Below are 14,593 nucleotides of genomic sequence, written 5' to 3'. Positions count from 1 at the left end.
AATCTATCTCTTAATACTTTATTTATAATAATACGTTATTCGAGTTAGTTAATTCTACAATTCTACAATGCTATCTCATTCTACCTACCACCAAATTTTGTCAGTTTGTTCAATCTGAAGATGAGGGTCTATGTTTCTTTGAAAAGCATGTTTGTTAAATTTGCTAATAAATAGTTACACTAAAGACAGACATGGAACTGAGGAGCCATCATTTATTCCATTAAAAATAATATTTTACCCTAAGTATTTTGTAAGTTGCCTCTAAAACAATGCATTTGATTTTCCAGTTAAATTATTAAAGCCTTAAATAATGAACTTGCTTTTGTTAATACACTATGACTATTAGAGAAGGTAAGAGTTTATAGAAATTAAATAAGAATAAAATTTCACCATGTCAAACCCTAAAGACTGTGCCTGTAAATCATATGTGTCACTTTGAACCATTACAAATAATCTTCAGTGATGTAGCTTCAAATCAAAATTAGAAAATATTAATTAACTGAAATAGGAAATATCAGATGTAAAACACCAGTGGAGTCTCCCTCTGATTCCCTGGGAAATTACTGCTCAATTCCTTAGAAAATACAAACTTAATCCATGCATAAATACCAAAGTCAAAGCTACATGCCAGGAAAGATGACAGGAATAAACCCACGATTGGACAGGCTGAATTAGAAGACCTCAGTCTTAAAATAGCTTAATTCCTAACTAGAAGTGAAATGTCAAGTGAAAATACTCAACGTAATTGATAGATTTGTTGTCCAATAGCCAATAAGTATTTAAGAAAAAAATTCCTTGTGATCACTTTACATTTATGACTTAATATGTTTTCACCAAAATTATCAGCAATATGCAAAGTGCTCCTACTAGTGTGGAATACAGATCTCAGAAAGATTAACGGCCACATGTGTAGTTCCATTACTGTGATTTCGACATAAATTATAAAAGGAACATTATTTCTCGACTTCAGTCTGATCACAGAGGCTAAACACAGATACAGGTTCAGAGATAGAAAGCAAGCTGAGAGTGATTCACTTCACCCTTATATTTTTAAAGACTGCAGCTTCACAAAACAAAGCCCTCTCATGCAGTAATTATATTATGTCACTTTACATAATAATATATCTTCCAGTCTACTTCTGTTTTCGAAATCACCTGGGGATTGCAAATTGTTCTTGCAATTATCTGATTTTCTGTCTAACTGGGACAGTGTTTCTCAAACTGTGAGGCTGATCACACTGGAGAGACTTCAATCTTTTCATGGGGGTATGAAAATCAACCCAAAGAAGAGGGTGTTATATTTCTCTGCTCACTAATTATTTTCACTAATGACTGAGAAAGCAAAATCATTTCATTAGGAATTTTTTTTATATTAGTACTTTTTTAATGAAGTATATAATTTCTCTTCCATATTGTGTCATCAAAATATATTTACATGTTTCATTTGCATTCATACATTAAAGAGTAAAAGATGTGGCTGGCGGCAGTGGCTCACACCTGTAATCCCAGCACTTTGAGAGGCCAAGGCAGGTGGGATAGCTTGAGGCCAGGAGTACTAGACCAGCGTGGCCAACATGGGGAAACCCCGTCTCTACCAAAAATGAAAAAATAAATAAAACTAATAAAAAATATTGGGAGGGCATGGTGGCAAATGTCTGTAGTCCCAGCTACTCAGGAGGCTGAGACATGAGAATCGCTTGAACCCAGAAGGTGGAGGTTGCAGTGAGCAGAGATCAAACCACTGCACTCCTGCCTAGGTGATGAAGCGAGACTCGGTCTCAAAAAAAAAAAAAAAAAAAGTAAAAGATGTAATTAATTTCAGTCATCAGATAATGATTTTATTTGTATTTTAGAATAGGAAAAAATACAAAAATTTCAAGGACTGAAAAAATAAGGGTCCTACTTGCTTTTTAACGTATCCTAACATACTCAATGGAAATGTTGACAATTGTATCATTTCTGAAATATCATAATACTCTAATTTCTCTTTGACTCTATGATTAATTTTTGACCCTTCTAATTTATGATATGCCCCTTACAAAGTGTATTAAAATATTGCAGAGTATTTTCTATGTCAATAATTTTAGAATGACATCATGGAAAAGCTATTTGTTTACATTCTAGTCCCTGATGAGACAGAGAGCACAGCTGTAAGTAACAGTGCCACTGAAGAGTGAATTTTCCCCAAGTCCGTGTACTATGCAGGTGAGAAGCCCTCACAGCTCAATAGTTGATCTACTCTCCAGAAGAGGCATAGCCAATTCTTTACTATTTGCAAGTAGAATATACATAGATAAAAACATAGAAATTATGGCTTATCTCTACCTTATTTAGCCAGAAGCCTAGCTTTCATAGCCTTTTGAGCTATCTTTACAATTTAAAAAATTCTCTTAATACCGCCTTCATTCTACATTTTTATGGAATAAATATTTTTCTATTTGTTTATGCAAAATGATCTTTCTTTTTTACTCAACCTGGTCTCCAAAGATAATCAAGAAAGTAGCGAAATATAGAGATAATCATCATATAACCATTGCTGACATTTTAAAATAGTTCCTACTAATAATTTTGACATCATATATTATGAAAAGAAAATAATTTTATCTATAATCTTAAAACCTGTTTTATGTTCTGCTTAACATTATTTTCTATAAACTTTTAAAATAAATTTTTGAATATGCATGCATTTCAAAAGTATATCATATATACCAAAGTTTTCATAGCCAGGCTGGGAGAATACTAAACAGTTAATGCAATTGGCTTACCTTGTTCAAAGATATATTAACTGAAAAGACTACTAATTAAGAGACAAAGGAGCTCTGCTCATATTATGTGTCAGTCTAATTACATACATTTGTTTCTATAGAGGAAAAACGAATTAAAAAATCAAATAAAATGGCATTACATTGAAATGCCAAGGTTACTGAACCAAACATACTCAGCTGTATTCACAGACCAGGCAGAAGATATTAATAAATGAATAAAACATGTTTTATTTAATACAATAGCAATTGGTGAGAACTACAGCAGGTGGGAGAATATGTATCCTGACTATAGCCAATCAAATAGAAATTGTCAAACAATGTGTTTCTAATAACCTGTCAACAGGCTTCTAGTTGATAACCTCTGGACATCTAGTGTGATGTTTTAAATTGTTCTTGAAGAGTATTTCAGAACATCAGATCTAATTGTGTATAATTATGATAATACTATCCATAGACAAATATAAGAGTTAAATCATTTCATTTTTTGCAATGCCTGTGGCTTTCATTTTCATGAATTCTCTTCTGTGACATCTTCTACTCAACAAGATACATTTATTTACACATCTGCTACATAACCATTCACAAACACTCAATAATCACCATACACTAGAAAGTTTTGTACAATCTCAAATGTTCTATGTTTTTATCTCTGAGCTGTGGAGCCCTGTAAGACTTAGTTTCTCCTACACATTTTCCTCAGACTGCGTGTCATTTGAGTGCTATGTGCTAAGATTATTCACTGCCTAGATATGCTGTTCATTTGGTTCTCACTATTAAAAGGCAGTGCTATAAACTACTTCTCACCCAGAAAACACTGCCAAGGCTGTCAAACTAGCCAAGAACTGTTCCAGAGGAAAAATGTATATACTATTTAAAAGTTAAACCAACAAAAATGACTCAATGAAAAGAAGTAGGACTATGCATATGCCTGTTAAAAATAAAAAATAGCAACCTGAGTTGCAACTTTGACATTTATACATTTTAACCTAAAGTCCCAGAATATTCTGACCACCGAAGAACATGTTTTTCTAATAGAATTTACTTACATGAGTGTGTTTGATGATAACTGTGAACAAATTCTATGTATGGCATTGAATAAAAATCATAAATTTTGATATAAAGCAGACCTTGATTAAATTCTCATTGAACCAGTTAAATAACTTCAGAAACTCTCAGGACATATCTGAAAGATAAAGAGAGAAATTTCTACTGGAAATAGTCGTTTTGAATATTTGAAATAAGTATTCAGTTTTAGGCTCATTTTTGTACCTCTTGTGCTGCAAACTGGTTGTCCTTTCAGACACTATGCTTGTGATGCTATGAAGAAATAACTGAGACTGATTAATTTATAAAGAGGTTCAATTGACTCACAGTTCCACATGGCTGGGGAGGACTCAGGAAATGTACAATCGTGGTGGAAGGAGAAGCAAACACTTCCTTCTTCACATGGAGGCAGGAGAGAGTAGTGCTGGGAAAAGGGGGGAAAGCCCCTTATAAAGCCATCAGATCTTGTGAGAACTCACTCAAAATAGCATGGGGATAACTCCCCACCCCCGTGATTCAATTACCTCCCATCAGGTCCCTCCCACAACATGTGGAGATTATGGCAACTAGAATTCAAGACAAAATTTTGGTGGGGACACAGCCAAACAGTATCATTCTGCCCCTGGCCCCTCCCAAATTTCATGTCCTCACATTTCAAAACACAATCATGTCTTTCCAACAGTTCCCCAAAGTCTTAGCTCATTCTAGCATTAACCCAAAAGTCCCAGTCCAAAGTCTCATCTGTGACAAAGGCAAGTCCGTTCCACCTATGCACCTGTAAAATTGAAAGCAAGTTAGTTACTTCCTAGATACAATGGGGATACAGGCATTGGGTAAATACACTCATTCCAAATGGGAGAAATTGGCCCAAACTGATGGGCTACAGGTCCCATACAAGTCCAAAATCCAATAAGGCAGTCATTAAAACTTACGGTTCCAAAATCTCCTTTGTCTCCATGTCTCGCATCCAGGTCACACTGATGCAAGTAGTGGGCTCCCACAGCCTTGGGAAGCTCCACACCTGTGGCTTTGCAAGGTGCAGTCCCCATCCTGGCTGCTTTTATGTTTGGTGTTGAGTGTCCATGGCTTTTCCAAACTCACAGTGCAAGCTGTCAGTCGGTCTATAATTCTGGGGTCTGGAGAATGGTGGCCCTTTCTCACAACTCCAGTAAGCAGTGCCCCAGTGGGGACTCTGAGGGCTCCAACCCCACATTTCCCTTCCACACTGCCCTAGCAGAGGTTTACCCTGAGGGCTCTGCCCCTGCAACAGACTTTTGCCTGGACATTCAGGCATTCCCATACATCCTCTGAAATCTAGGTGGAGGTTCCCTAACCTCAATTCTTGTCTTCTGTGTACCAACAGGCCTAACACCACATGGAAGATGCCAAGGCTTGGGGCTTGCACCCTCTGAGGCAATGGCCTGAGCTGTACCTTGGCCCATTTTAGCCATGGCTGGAGCAGTTGGGACACAGGGCACCATGTCCTGAGGCTGCACAGATCAGGGGGACTCTGGACACAGCCCAAGAAACAATTTTTCCCTCCTAGGTCTCCGAGTCTGTGGTGGGAGGGGCTGTCATGAAGGTCTCTGACATGCCTAGAAGCATTTTCCCCGTTGTCTTGGCAATTAACATTGGGATCCTCATTACTTATGCAAATTTATGCAGCTGGCTTGAATTTCTCCCCAGAAAATGGGTTTTTCTTTTCTATCACATCATCAAGCTGCAAATCTTCCAAACTTTTATGCTCTGCTTCCTCTTAAATGCTTTGCTGCTTATAAATTTCTTCTGCCAGACATTCTAAATTATCTCTCTCAAGTTCAAAGTTCCACAGATTTCTAGGGCAGGACAAAATGCCAACAGTCTCTTTGCTAAAGCATAGCAAGAGTCACCTTTACTCCAGTTTTCAACAAGTTCTTCGTGTCCCTCTGAGACCATGTCAGCCTGGACTTCATTGTCCATGTCACTGTTAGCATTTTGGTTATAGCCATTCACCAAGTCTCTAGGAAGTTCCCAACTTTCCCACATTTTCCTATCTTCTTCTGAGCCCTCCAAACTGTTCCAGCCTCTGCTGGTTACTTAGTTCCAAAGTCACTTCCACATTTTCAGGTATCCTTATAGCTGTGCCCCACTTCCTCAGTACCAATTTATTCTATTTGTTCATTCTCATGCTGCTAATAAAGACACATCTGAGTCTGGGTAATTTATAAAAGAAAGAGGTTTAATTGACTCACAGTTCTGGATGGTTGGGGAGAGCTCAGGAAACTTAAAATCATCAAAGAAGGGAAAGCAAACATGTCCTTCTTCACATGGCAGCAGGAGAGAGATGTACCGAGCAAAGTGGGAAAAGCCCCTTATACAACCATTAGATGTCATGAGAACTTATTCACTATCATGAGATCAGCATGGTGTAACTGGACCCATGATTCCATTACCTCACACCAGGTCCCTCCCATGACGCATGGGGATTATGGGAACTATAATTCAAGATGAGATTTGGGCGAGGACACAGACAAACCATATCAGTTGGAATTCATGTCTATGAATTACGCATGTCATAAGCCTCCAGATAATGATGCTGGCTGAGACTCTGTGGCAGAAAAGCAAAACTTATTTTCTTTTAGTAGTTTCATAGTTTCATGTCTTAGACTTAAGTCTTTAATCCATTTTTATTTGATTTTTGTACATGGTGAAAGATAGAGGTGTAGTTTCACTTTTCTGTATGGATTTATTTCTGGGATCTCCAATTCTATTTCATTGATCTATGCCAATACCATGTGATTTTGGTTACTATAGTTCTATAGTGTAATTCAAAGTCAGGAATGTGATTCCTTCAGTTTTGTTCATTTTGCACAGGATGGCTTTGTTATTTCTGGGTCTTTTGTGGTTCCATGTAAATTCTAGGATCATTTATTTTTTATTTCTGTGATGAATGTCCTTAGTATTTTGATAGAGATTGTATTGAACCTGTAGCTTGCTTTGGGTAGTATGAAAATTTTAACAATACTAATTTTTTTCAGTCCATGAACAAAGAGTATCTTTCAACTTTTTTTGTGTTATCTTCAATTTATTACATAAATATTTTATAGTTTTCATCCTAGAGATCTTTCACTTTTTGTTTGATTTGTAAGTATTTTATTTTATTTGTAGCTATTGTAAATAGGATTACTTTCTTGATCTCTTTTTCAGAGTGTTCACTGTTGGTATGCAGAAATGCTACTGATTTTTGTATGTTGATATTTTTTCCTGAAATTTTACTGAATTTGTTTATCAATTCTATCAATTTTTGTGGATTCTCTATGTTTCTTTCAAATATAAGATTATACCATCTGCAAACCAGGATAATTTGACTTCTTCTTTTCCAATTTGAATATCCTTTATTTTTTTCTCTTGTCTGATTGCTCCAGCTAGCAATAGTACTTTCAGTATTGTGTTAAACAACAGGGTGAAAGTGGGCATCCTTGTCTTGTTCTAGATTGTAGAGGAAAGTCTTTCATTTTTTTCCCATTCAGTATGACATTAGCTGTGAGTCTGTCATATATGGCTTTTATTGTGTTAAGGTAAGTTTCTTGTATGCACAGTTTTTTGAGGGTTTTTATCATGAAGGGGTGTTGAATTTTATTAGATGCTTTTTCAGCATCTATTTTAATGGTCACATAGTTTTAGGCCTCGTTCTGTTGATACGATGTATCATGTTGATTGATTTGTGTTTGTTGAACCATTCTTGCATCCCTGGGAAAAATCCCACTTGGTCTTGATGAATAATATTTTTAATGTGTGTTGTTGAACTCAATTTTCTAACATTTTGTTGAGTTTTTTTCCATCAGTGTTTATCAGATATATTGGCTAGTAGTTTTCTTTTTTTGTTGTGCCTTTGGTTTTGATATCAGAGTAATACTGGCATTGTAGAATGAGTTTGGAAATAGTCTCCCCTTTTCTATTTTTTAGATTAACTTGAGTATGGTTGGTAGTTTTTCTTTAAGTGTTTGGTAAAATTCTAAAGTGAAGCCATTGGATTCTAGACTTTTCTTTGCTAGGAGACTTTATAGTGCAGCTTTCTTCTCATTACTTTCTATAGATCTCTTCAGGTTTTAGATTTCTTCATGTTGTAATCTTAGTAGCTGGTTAGAAATTTGTTGATTTTGTTTGTGTTTTCAAAAAAACGACTTTTCCATTTTGTTGATCTTTTGGGTTTTTTATTTTTTGTCATTTATTTCTGTTGCAATTTTCATTATTTATTTTCTTCTAATTGTGGGTTTGCTTTCCTCTTGCTTTTCTAATTCTTTAAGATGCATTGTTAGATTGTTTAAGTTTTTTAATGTTTTGATGTAGGCTTTTGTAGCTATACACTTTTACTATTGCTTTTACTCTGTTCCACAGATTTTGTATATTATGTTTCCATTTCCTTTTGTTTCAATAAATTTTTAAATTTCCTTCGTAATTTTTTTATTAACCCACTGGCTACTCAGGTGTACATTGTTTAATTTCCGTGTGTTTGTATAGTTTCCAAAGTTCCTCTTGTTATTGAATCCTAGTTTTTTTCCACTGTGGTTGGAGAAAATATTTGATATAATTTGATTTTTTTTAAAGTTTTTCAGATTTGTTTTGTGACTTAATATATGATCTATCCTTAATAATAATGCATATGCTGAGAAGAAGAACATGTATTCTGCAACCATTGGCTAAAATGTTCTGCAAATATCTATTAAGCCCATTTGGTCTAGAGTGTAGATTAAATCCAATGTTTCTTTGTTGATTTTCTGTCTGGGAGATCTGTTCAATGCTGAAAGAACAGTGGTGAAGTCTCCAGTTATTATTGTATTAGGGTCTATCTCTCTCTTTACCTCCAATAATATTTGCCTTATATATCTAGGTTTTTCAGTGATGGGTGCATATATATCTACATTTCATCCACTTGTTGAATTGACCCCTTTATCATTATATCATGACCTTCTTTTTCTCTTTTTATAGCTATTATCTTGAAATCTATTTTATCTGGTATAACTATTTCTTCTTTTTTTGGCTTCCATTTGCATGGGATATCTTTTCCATCCCTTTATTTTCTATCTATGTGTGTCTTCATAAGTGAAGTGTGTTTCCTGTAGCCAACAGATTGTGTGTTGTTGTTTTTTTTATCCATTCAGTTACACTATGGCTTTTTATTGGAGAGTTTAGTTTAGTTACATTCAAAGTTATTGATAAGTAAAGACTAACTCTTGCCATATTGTTATTTGTTTTATGAATGTTGTGTGGCCTTCTCTTCCTCCCGTCTTTCCTTCCTGTCTTCTTTTTTGAAGGTAATTTTCTCTGGTGTATGTTTTAATATCTTTTTATTTTTTGTGTTTCTATTGTAGGTTTTTTTATTTGAGGTTACCATGAGGCTTGCAAATAACAACCCATTATTTTATACCAATGGCAGCTTAACACTGATTGCAAAAACAAACAGGCAAGGAAAAACGAATTTTTAAAAATCTGCACTTTAACTTCATCCCTCTCCCGCTTTTTAACTTTTTGCTATTTCTATCTCAGTATCCTGCCTGTGTCTTAAAAATTATGTAGTTATTATTTTTGATAGATTCATATTTTAGTCTTTCTACTCCAGGTATGAGTAGTTTATACACCACAAGTACATTGTTATAATATTCTGTGTTTGTCTGTGTACTTACTATTACCAGAGAATTTTGTACCTTCAGATGATTTCTTATTGCTCATTAACATTCTCATCTTTTAGATTGAAGAACTCCCTGTAGCATTTCTTGTAGGACAGGTCTAGTATTGATGAAATTTCTCAGCTTTGTTTGCTTGGGAAAAATGTTTGGAGGATATTTTCAGTGGATATGCTATTCAAGGATAAGAGTTTTTTCCTTCAGCACTTTAAATATATCACACCACTTACTCCTAGCCTGTACGGTTTCCAGTGAAAAATTGGCTGACAGACATATTGGACCTTCTTTGCATGTTTTTTCTTTCCTCTTACCACTTTTATAATCCTTTCTTTGTCTTTCATCTTTGAGAGTTTAATTATTAATTGTCTGGAGGTAGACTTATTTGGGCTAAATCTGCTTGGTGTTTTACAACCTTCTTTAACTTGAATATTGGCATTATTCTCTAGATTTGGAAAGCTCTCTGTTACGACTTTGAATATACTTGCTGCCCCACTGTCTCTATCTACATTCTCTTTAAGGCCAATAACTTTTAGATTTGTTCTTTTGAGGCTATTTTCTAGATCTTATAGTCATGCTTATTCTTTTTCATACTTTTTTCTTTTATTTTCTCTGATTGTGTATTTTCAAATAGCCTTTTTTCAAACTCACTAATTCTTTATTCTACTTGATCAATTGTACTTGATCAATTCTGCTATTGAGAGACTCTGATGCATCTTTCAGCATCTCAATTGAATTTTTCAGCTCCATAATTTCTTTTTAATATTTCTAATTATTTCAATCCCTCTGTTGAAATAATCTGATAGGATTCTGAATCCCTTCTCTGTGTTAGTTTGAATTTTGTTGAGCTTCTTCAAAATAGCTTTTTTGAATTCTTTGTCTGAAAGGTCACATATCTCTGTCACTCTGGGGTTGACCACTTGTGCTGTATTTAGTTCATTTGTTGAGATCATGTTTACCTGGATGGTCTTGATGCTTGTAGATATCAATCAATGTCTGGGCATTGAAGAATTATGTATTTATTGTAGTCTTCAGAGTCTGGGCTTCTTTGTTTCCATCTTTCTTGGGAATGCTTTCCAAGTATTCAAAGGGTATTGGGTGTTGTGATCTAAGTGCTCACCGAAGGTATATTTGCATTAGGGGACATCCCAAGCCCAGTAACACCATGAGTCTTGTAGACTCTTAGAGGTACTACCTTGGAGGTCTTAGGTAAGATCTGAGAGAATTCCCTCGATTATCAGGCAGACACTCTGATTCTCTTTCCTTACTTTCCCCAGCAAATGAAATCTAACACTCCTGCTGGTTGTCCAGAGCTGGGACAGAGGTGACACAAGTACCTCTGTGGCTATCACCACTAGGACTGTGCTGGATCAGACCTGAAGCCAGCACAGCACTGGGTCTCACCCAATGTACATGGTGACCACTTTTTTCTTATCCTTGATGTTTACTTAAAGCCCAAGGGCTCTTTAGTCAGAATGGGGAGAATCTAGCCAGGCTTACCCTCTTCCCTTCAGGGTGGTAATTTCAACCCCCACTCAGTCCACATGGGTCCAAAAATGCCATCTGGGAGCCAGTGCCTGGAGTTGGGAAGCTTAAGGATGTGCTTTGTGCTCTATTCTACTGCAATTGAGCTGGCACCCAAGCCACAAGACAAAGTGTTTCCCACTTTTCCCTCCCCTTTCCTCAAGCAGAAGAAGTCTCTTCCCATAGGTAACCATCCCCCCACTTCCACCCACCAGGCCCATGGTGAATACTGCCTGACTACCACCAATGTTCCCAGAAGGCCCAAGGGCTTGTCCATCAGCTAGTGGTAAACGTTTTCAGATCTGGGTCTCCCTCTTCAGGACACTGAAGAGGGCTCCCCTCTGGCTCCCCTCTGGCTCAGGGTAGGTTCAGAAATGCTGTCTAGGAGACCAGGCCTGGAATCAGGGACCCCAAGAGCCAACTTGGTACTCTTCCACACTGTGGCTGAGATGGTACCCAAGCTGCAAGACAAAGTCTCCTTTGCTCTTCCCCCTACTTTCCTCCTGCGGAAAGAGTCTCTCTCTGTGGTTACCACAGCCAGAAATGTCCTGGGTCACATGTGATGCTTGCATGGCTCTGGGCCTCACCCAAGGCCCATGACAAATACTGCCTTGCTACTACTGGTGTTTATCCAAGACCCAAGCACTCTTTAGTCAGCAGGTGATGAGTTCTCTTAGGACAAGAGGTCCTTCCCTTCAAGGTAGCAGATTACCTTATGGTCCATGGTATGACTAGAAATGTTGCCTGGGAATTGTCCTGGAATGGAGGCCTCAGGAATCTGCCTGGTGCCCTATTCTATTGTGTCTAAGCTGGTTTCCAAATTGCAAGACAAAGTCCTTTTTATTCTCTCCTTTCCTCAAGCAGAAGGAAAGGGACTCTCCCAGAGTTGCAAGCTGTGCTGCCTAGCATTGGGGGAAAGGTGTTGCAAGCACTCCCTTGGCCATCCCAGCTGGTGTCTCACTAGGTGTCATGCACCCCAAGTCCACAGGCTCCAAGCTCAACACAGGACTAGGACTTGCCTAGGAATTACAGTCCTCATGGCCTAGACTGTCTTTCAGGTTTATTTAGTAAGCCCAGAGAGCCTTAACCTGTGGTGGCTGGTCTATCTAGAAATCAGGTTCTGACTGCTGGAATGGACAATTTCCCTCTGGCTAAAGCTGGTCTAAATGCTCCCTTTGTGGGTGCCCCGTGTTGCTTTCCACTGTGACAGTCAGCACTGAGTTCTGACACAATCTCCCACAATCACTGTGCTCTCTCTCCCCCAAGCACAGAGATTCTCTCTCTGTGCCACATGGCCTCTGCCGGTAGATGGGGGAGTGGTGGTGTCAGCAAATCAAGACTGTCTTTCCTCCCTTCTTCAGTGCCTCTTTTCTTGCTATAATATTAAAACTCAGTACTGTGATTACTTACCTGATTTTTGCCTCATATGATGGTGCTTTCCTTTGTGGATAGTTGTTCAATTTGGTCTTCCTGCAGGGCAAGTTAGGGATAATCACTGGAAGGTTTTTTCTGGTCATCTTCCTCCACTTCCTCCCTATAATCCATTTTGAGTTAATATTTTTATATGGCGTGAGGTAGGAGTCCAGGTACATTTTTTGCATGTGAATATCTATTGTCTCACAATTTGTTGAAAAGACTATTCATTCCTTGCTGAATGGTCTTGACACTCTTTAAAATTTCCAAAATCTGGTTTCTCTTTCATTCATATATGTTTGTCCTTAGGGAAGTACCATACTGTCTTGATTACTCTTGCTCTGTGGTAAGTTTTGAAATTGAAGTTAAGTCTTCAATTGTTTTGATTATTCTGGGTCTGTGAGGTTGTTTTGAGAACTCCTCTTTACATCCTATTACCCAGTGACCTGTACAAATGTACAATAAATTTTTGTTCAATAAGTGGAATAACTGAAAAATGAACAAGGTCTGTTAACCTAAGAATATCACTTGTAAAACCATTAAAGAGCCTGATCCTTTTGTTAAATGCCTCAGTTAATATTTTAAAATGTAACTTAATAAAATAATGTTGCTCTGGACTTAAAATGTGCAGTAAATATCTTGCCATCTTTAATATCTATAAACTAAATATTCTTAATTCAATTGTATCAGAATTAGCAAGAGCCCTATATTCTAAGAATAATAGATATACTGCATCTGTGATTAGCCTTCTTGACTTCTGTTGTTTGTAGTAATGGTATGCTTATAACTTTTATTCTAGTCCATCTGTTTATAAATAAAATTATTAGCAAGCTTATATAATTTACCTTTAATATAATATAAATAAAATACATGTTTTATAAATATATTTATTATATTTATAAATATAAACATAATTATTAGCAAGCTTACATAATATAATTTGCCTTTACCTTTAATATAATATAAATAAAATACATATTTTATAAACATACTTATATTTATAAATATAATATAAATAAAATTAGCAAGCTTATATAATTTACTTTTAATATAATTCACTTTTATGATGTCATCTAGAATAATTCTTCTTAGTACTCAAACTTTCTACATTCAGATACAAATGACTACTTTGCCTTTAACAGAGTGAAATCAGCAAAGTTTAGAAATTCCCCAAAGGTTAGGGAGGATAATAGCCACTGAGTTTCAGATACATGAATTTACAGTGCTTTAATCACACCACAGACATTAACAGACCAAATATGGTATACTTTATAATAATCTCTAAATGCTCTGAAGCATAATTAGTAGGGTAGCATTGAGAAACATCATTAATAATTTTGGGGTGAAATAGAATGTGCATTGTGAAGATCCAAACTTTGCCAGAATTTTTTTTCCACAAGATGACTGTATGGGTCTACAAAGAAGAAAAAAAACAATTTTGAAAGATTAATTTCATTATGCTAACACAGGCTCTGAGGGTTCATGAGTCATTGCAGGTTAATCATGAATATTTGTTATTCATTCTTAAACTAAAATGTCCTGAGCTTTTTACTAGCATGAAGACGGTCTTTTTTTGACAGTGTGTCAAAGTGGCAAAATCACATGCTTTATGGCTAGACTGACCTGTTATTTAAACTAACTTTGACAAGTCACCCAATTTCTCTGACAATCACAATTTTTGTGAGGATTCAAATTAAATGAGATAATTTGTGAAAAGTACCAGTAGAATTTGTCACCCTGATGCCCTGACTTTGTTATCAGCTCATATTACAATTGAAATTCACCTCTGTTGTACTACTCACACCAGTATAGGTATAAAGTGACTATAAATTAAAACTAATCTGAATGGGTTTGATTTTTGGAGCTAAAAGTTCACCTTATTTGCACAGCAATTCCAAAGAGAAAGTCCTCCAGTATAACACTGTAAAAAAAACATTACATTATTTATGAAAAATTTAAAATGAAAACAGTCTATCCTGTGATAAAAATGATATGTCTAATCAAGGTGTCTATGCATTTTTTTAACCACAAGAGACATACTTCTAGCATAAGCGAGATGAAGGATGATCACTAGCATTGTGTAGGATACACTCTGCACAACTGTACATAATGGCCTTGCTTACTTCTAGAATATCCTGAGGCCCTGACATAATTCACGTTGGCTCTTTACCTTGACTTATCCACAAA

The 14,593-nt window shown here is 36.2% G+C and overlaps 1 long non-coding RNA gene across 1 annotated transcript in view; it reads right to left on the bottom strand.

Moving 5' to 3' along the window:
* Positions 1 to 14,327, bottom strand: part of LOC101928283 (uncharacterized) — a 194,753-nt gene extending 180,426 nt beyond the window's left edge. Inside the window, exons 1-3 of the long non-coding RNA NR_110188.1 lie at positions 14,283 to 14,327; positions 12,404 to 12,852; positions 3,812 to 3,948 (exon numbers count right to left, since the gene is read on the bottom strand). This is a non-coding gene — a long non-coding RNA (uncharacterized LOC101928283). The remainder of the gene's footprint in view (positions 1 to 3,811; positions 3,949 to 12,403; positions 12,853 to 14,282) is intronic.
* Between the last annotated feature and the right edge of the window lie 266 nt (positions 14,328 to 14,593).

This window comes from Homo sapiens, chromosome 7, assembly GCF_000001405.40.
Source record: "Homo sapiens chromosome 7, GRCh38.p14 Primary Assembly".
Taxonomy (NCBI): Eukaryota; Metazoa; Chordata; class Mammalia; order Primates; family Hominidae; genus Homo; species Homo sapiens.
Note: the sequence above shows the minus strand (reverse complement) of the source record. Positions and strands in the feature narration are given on the sequence as shown.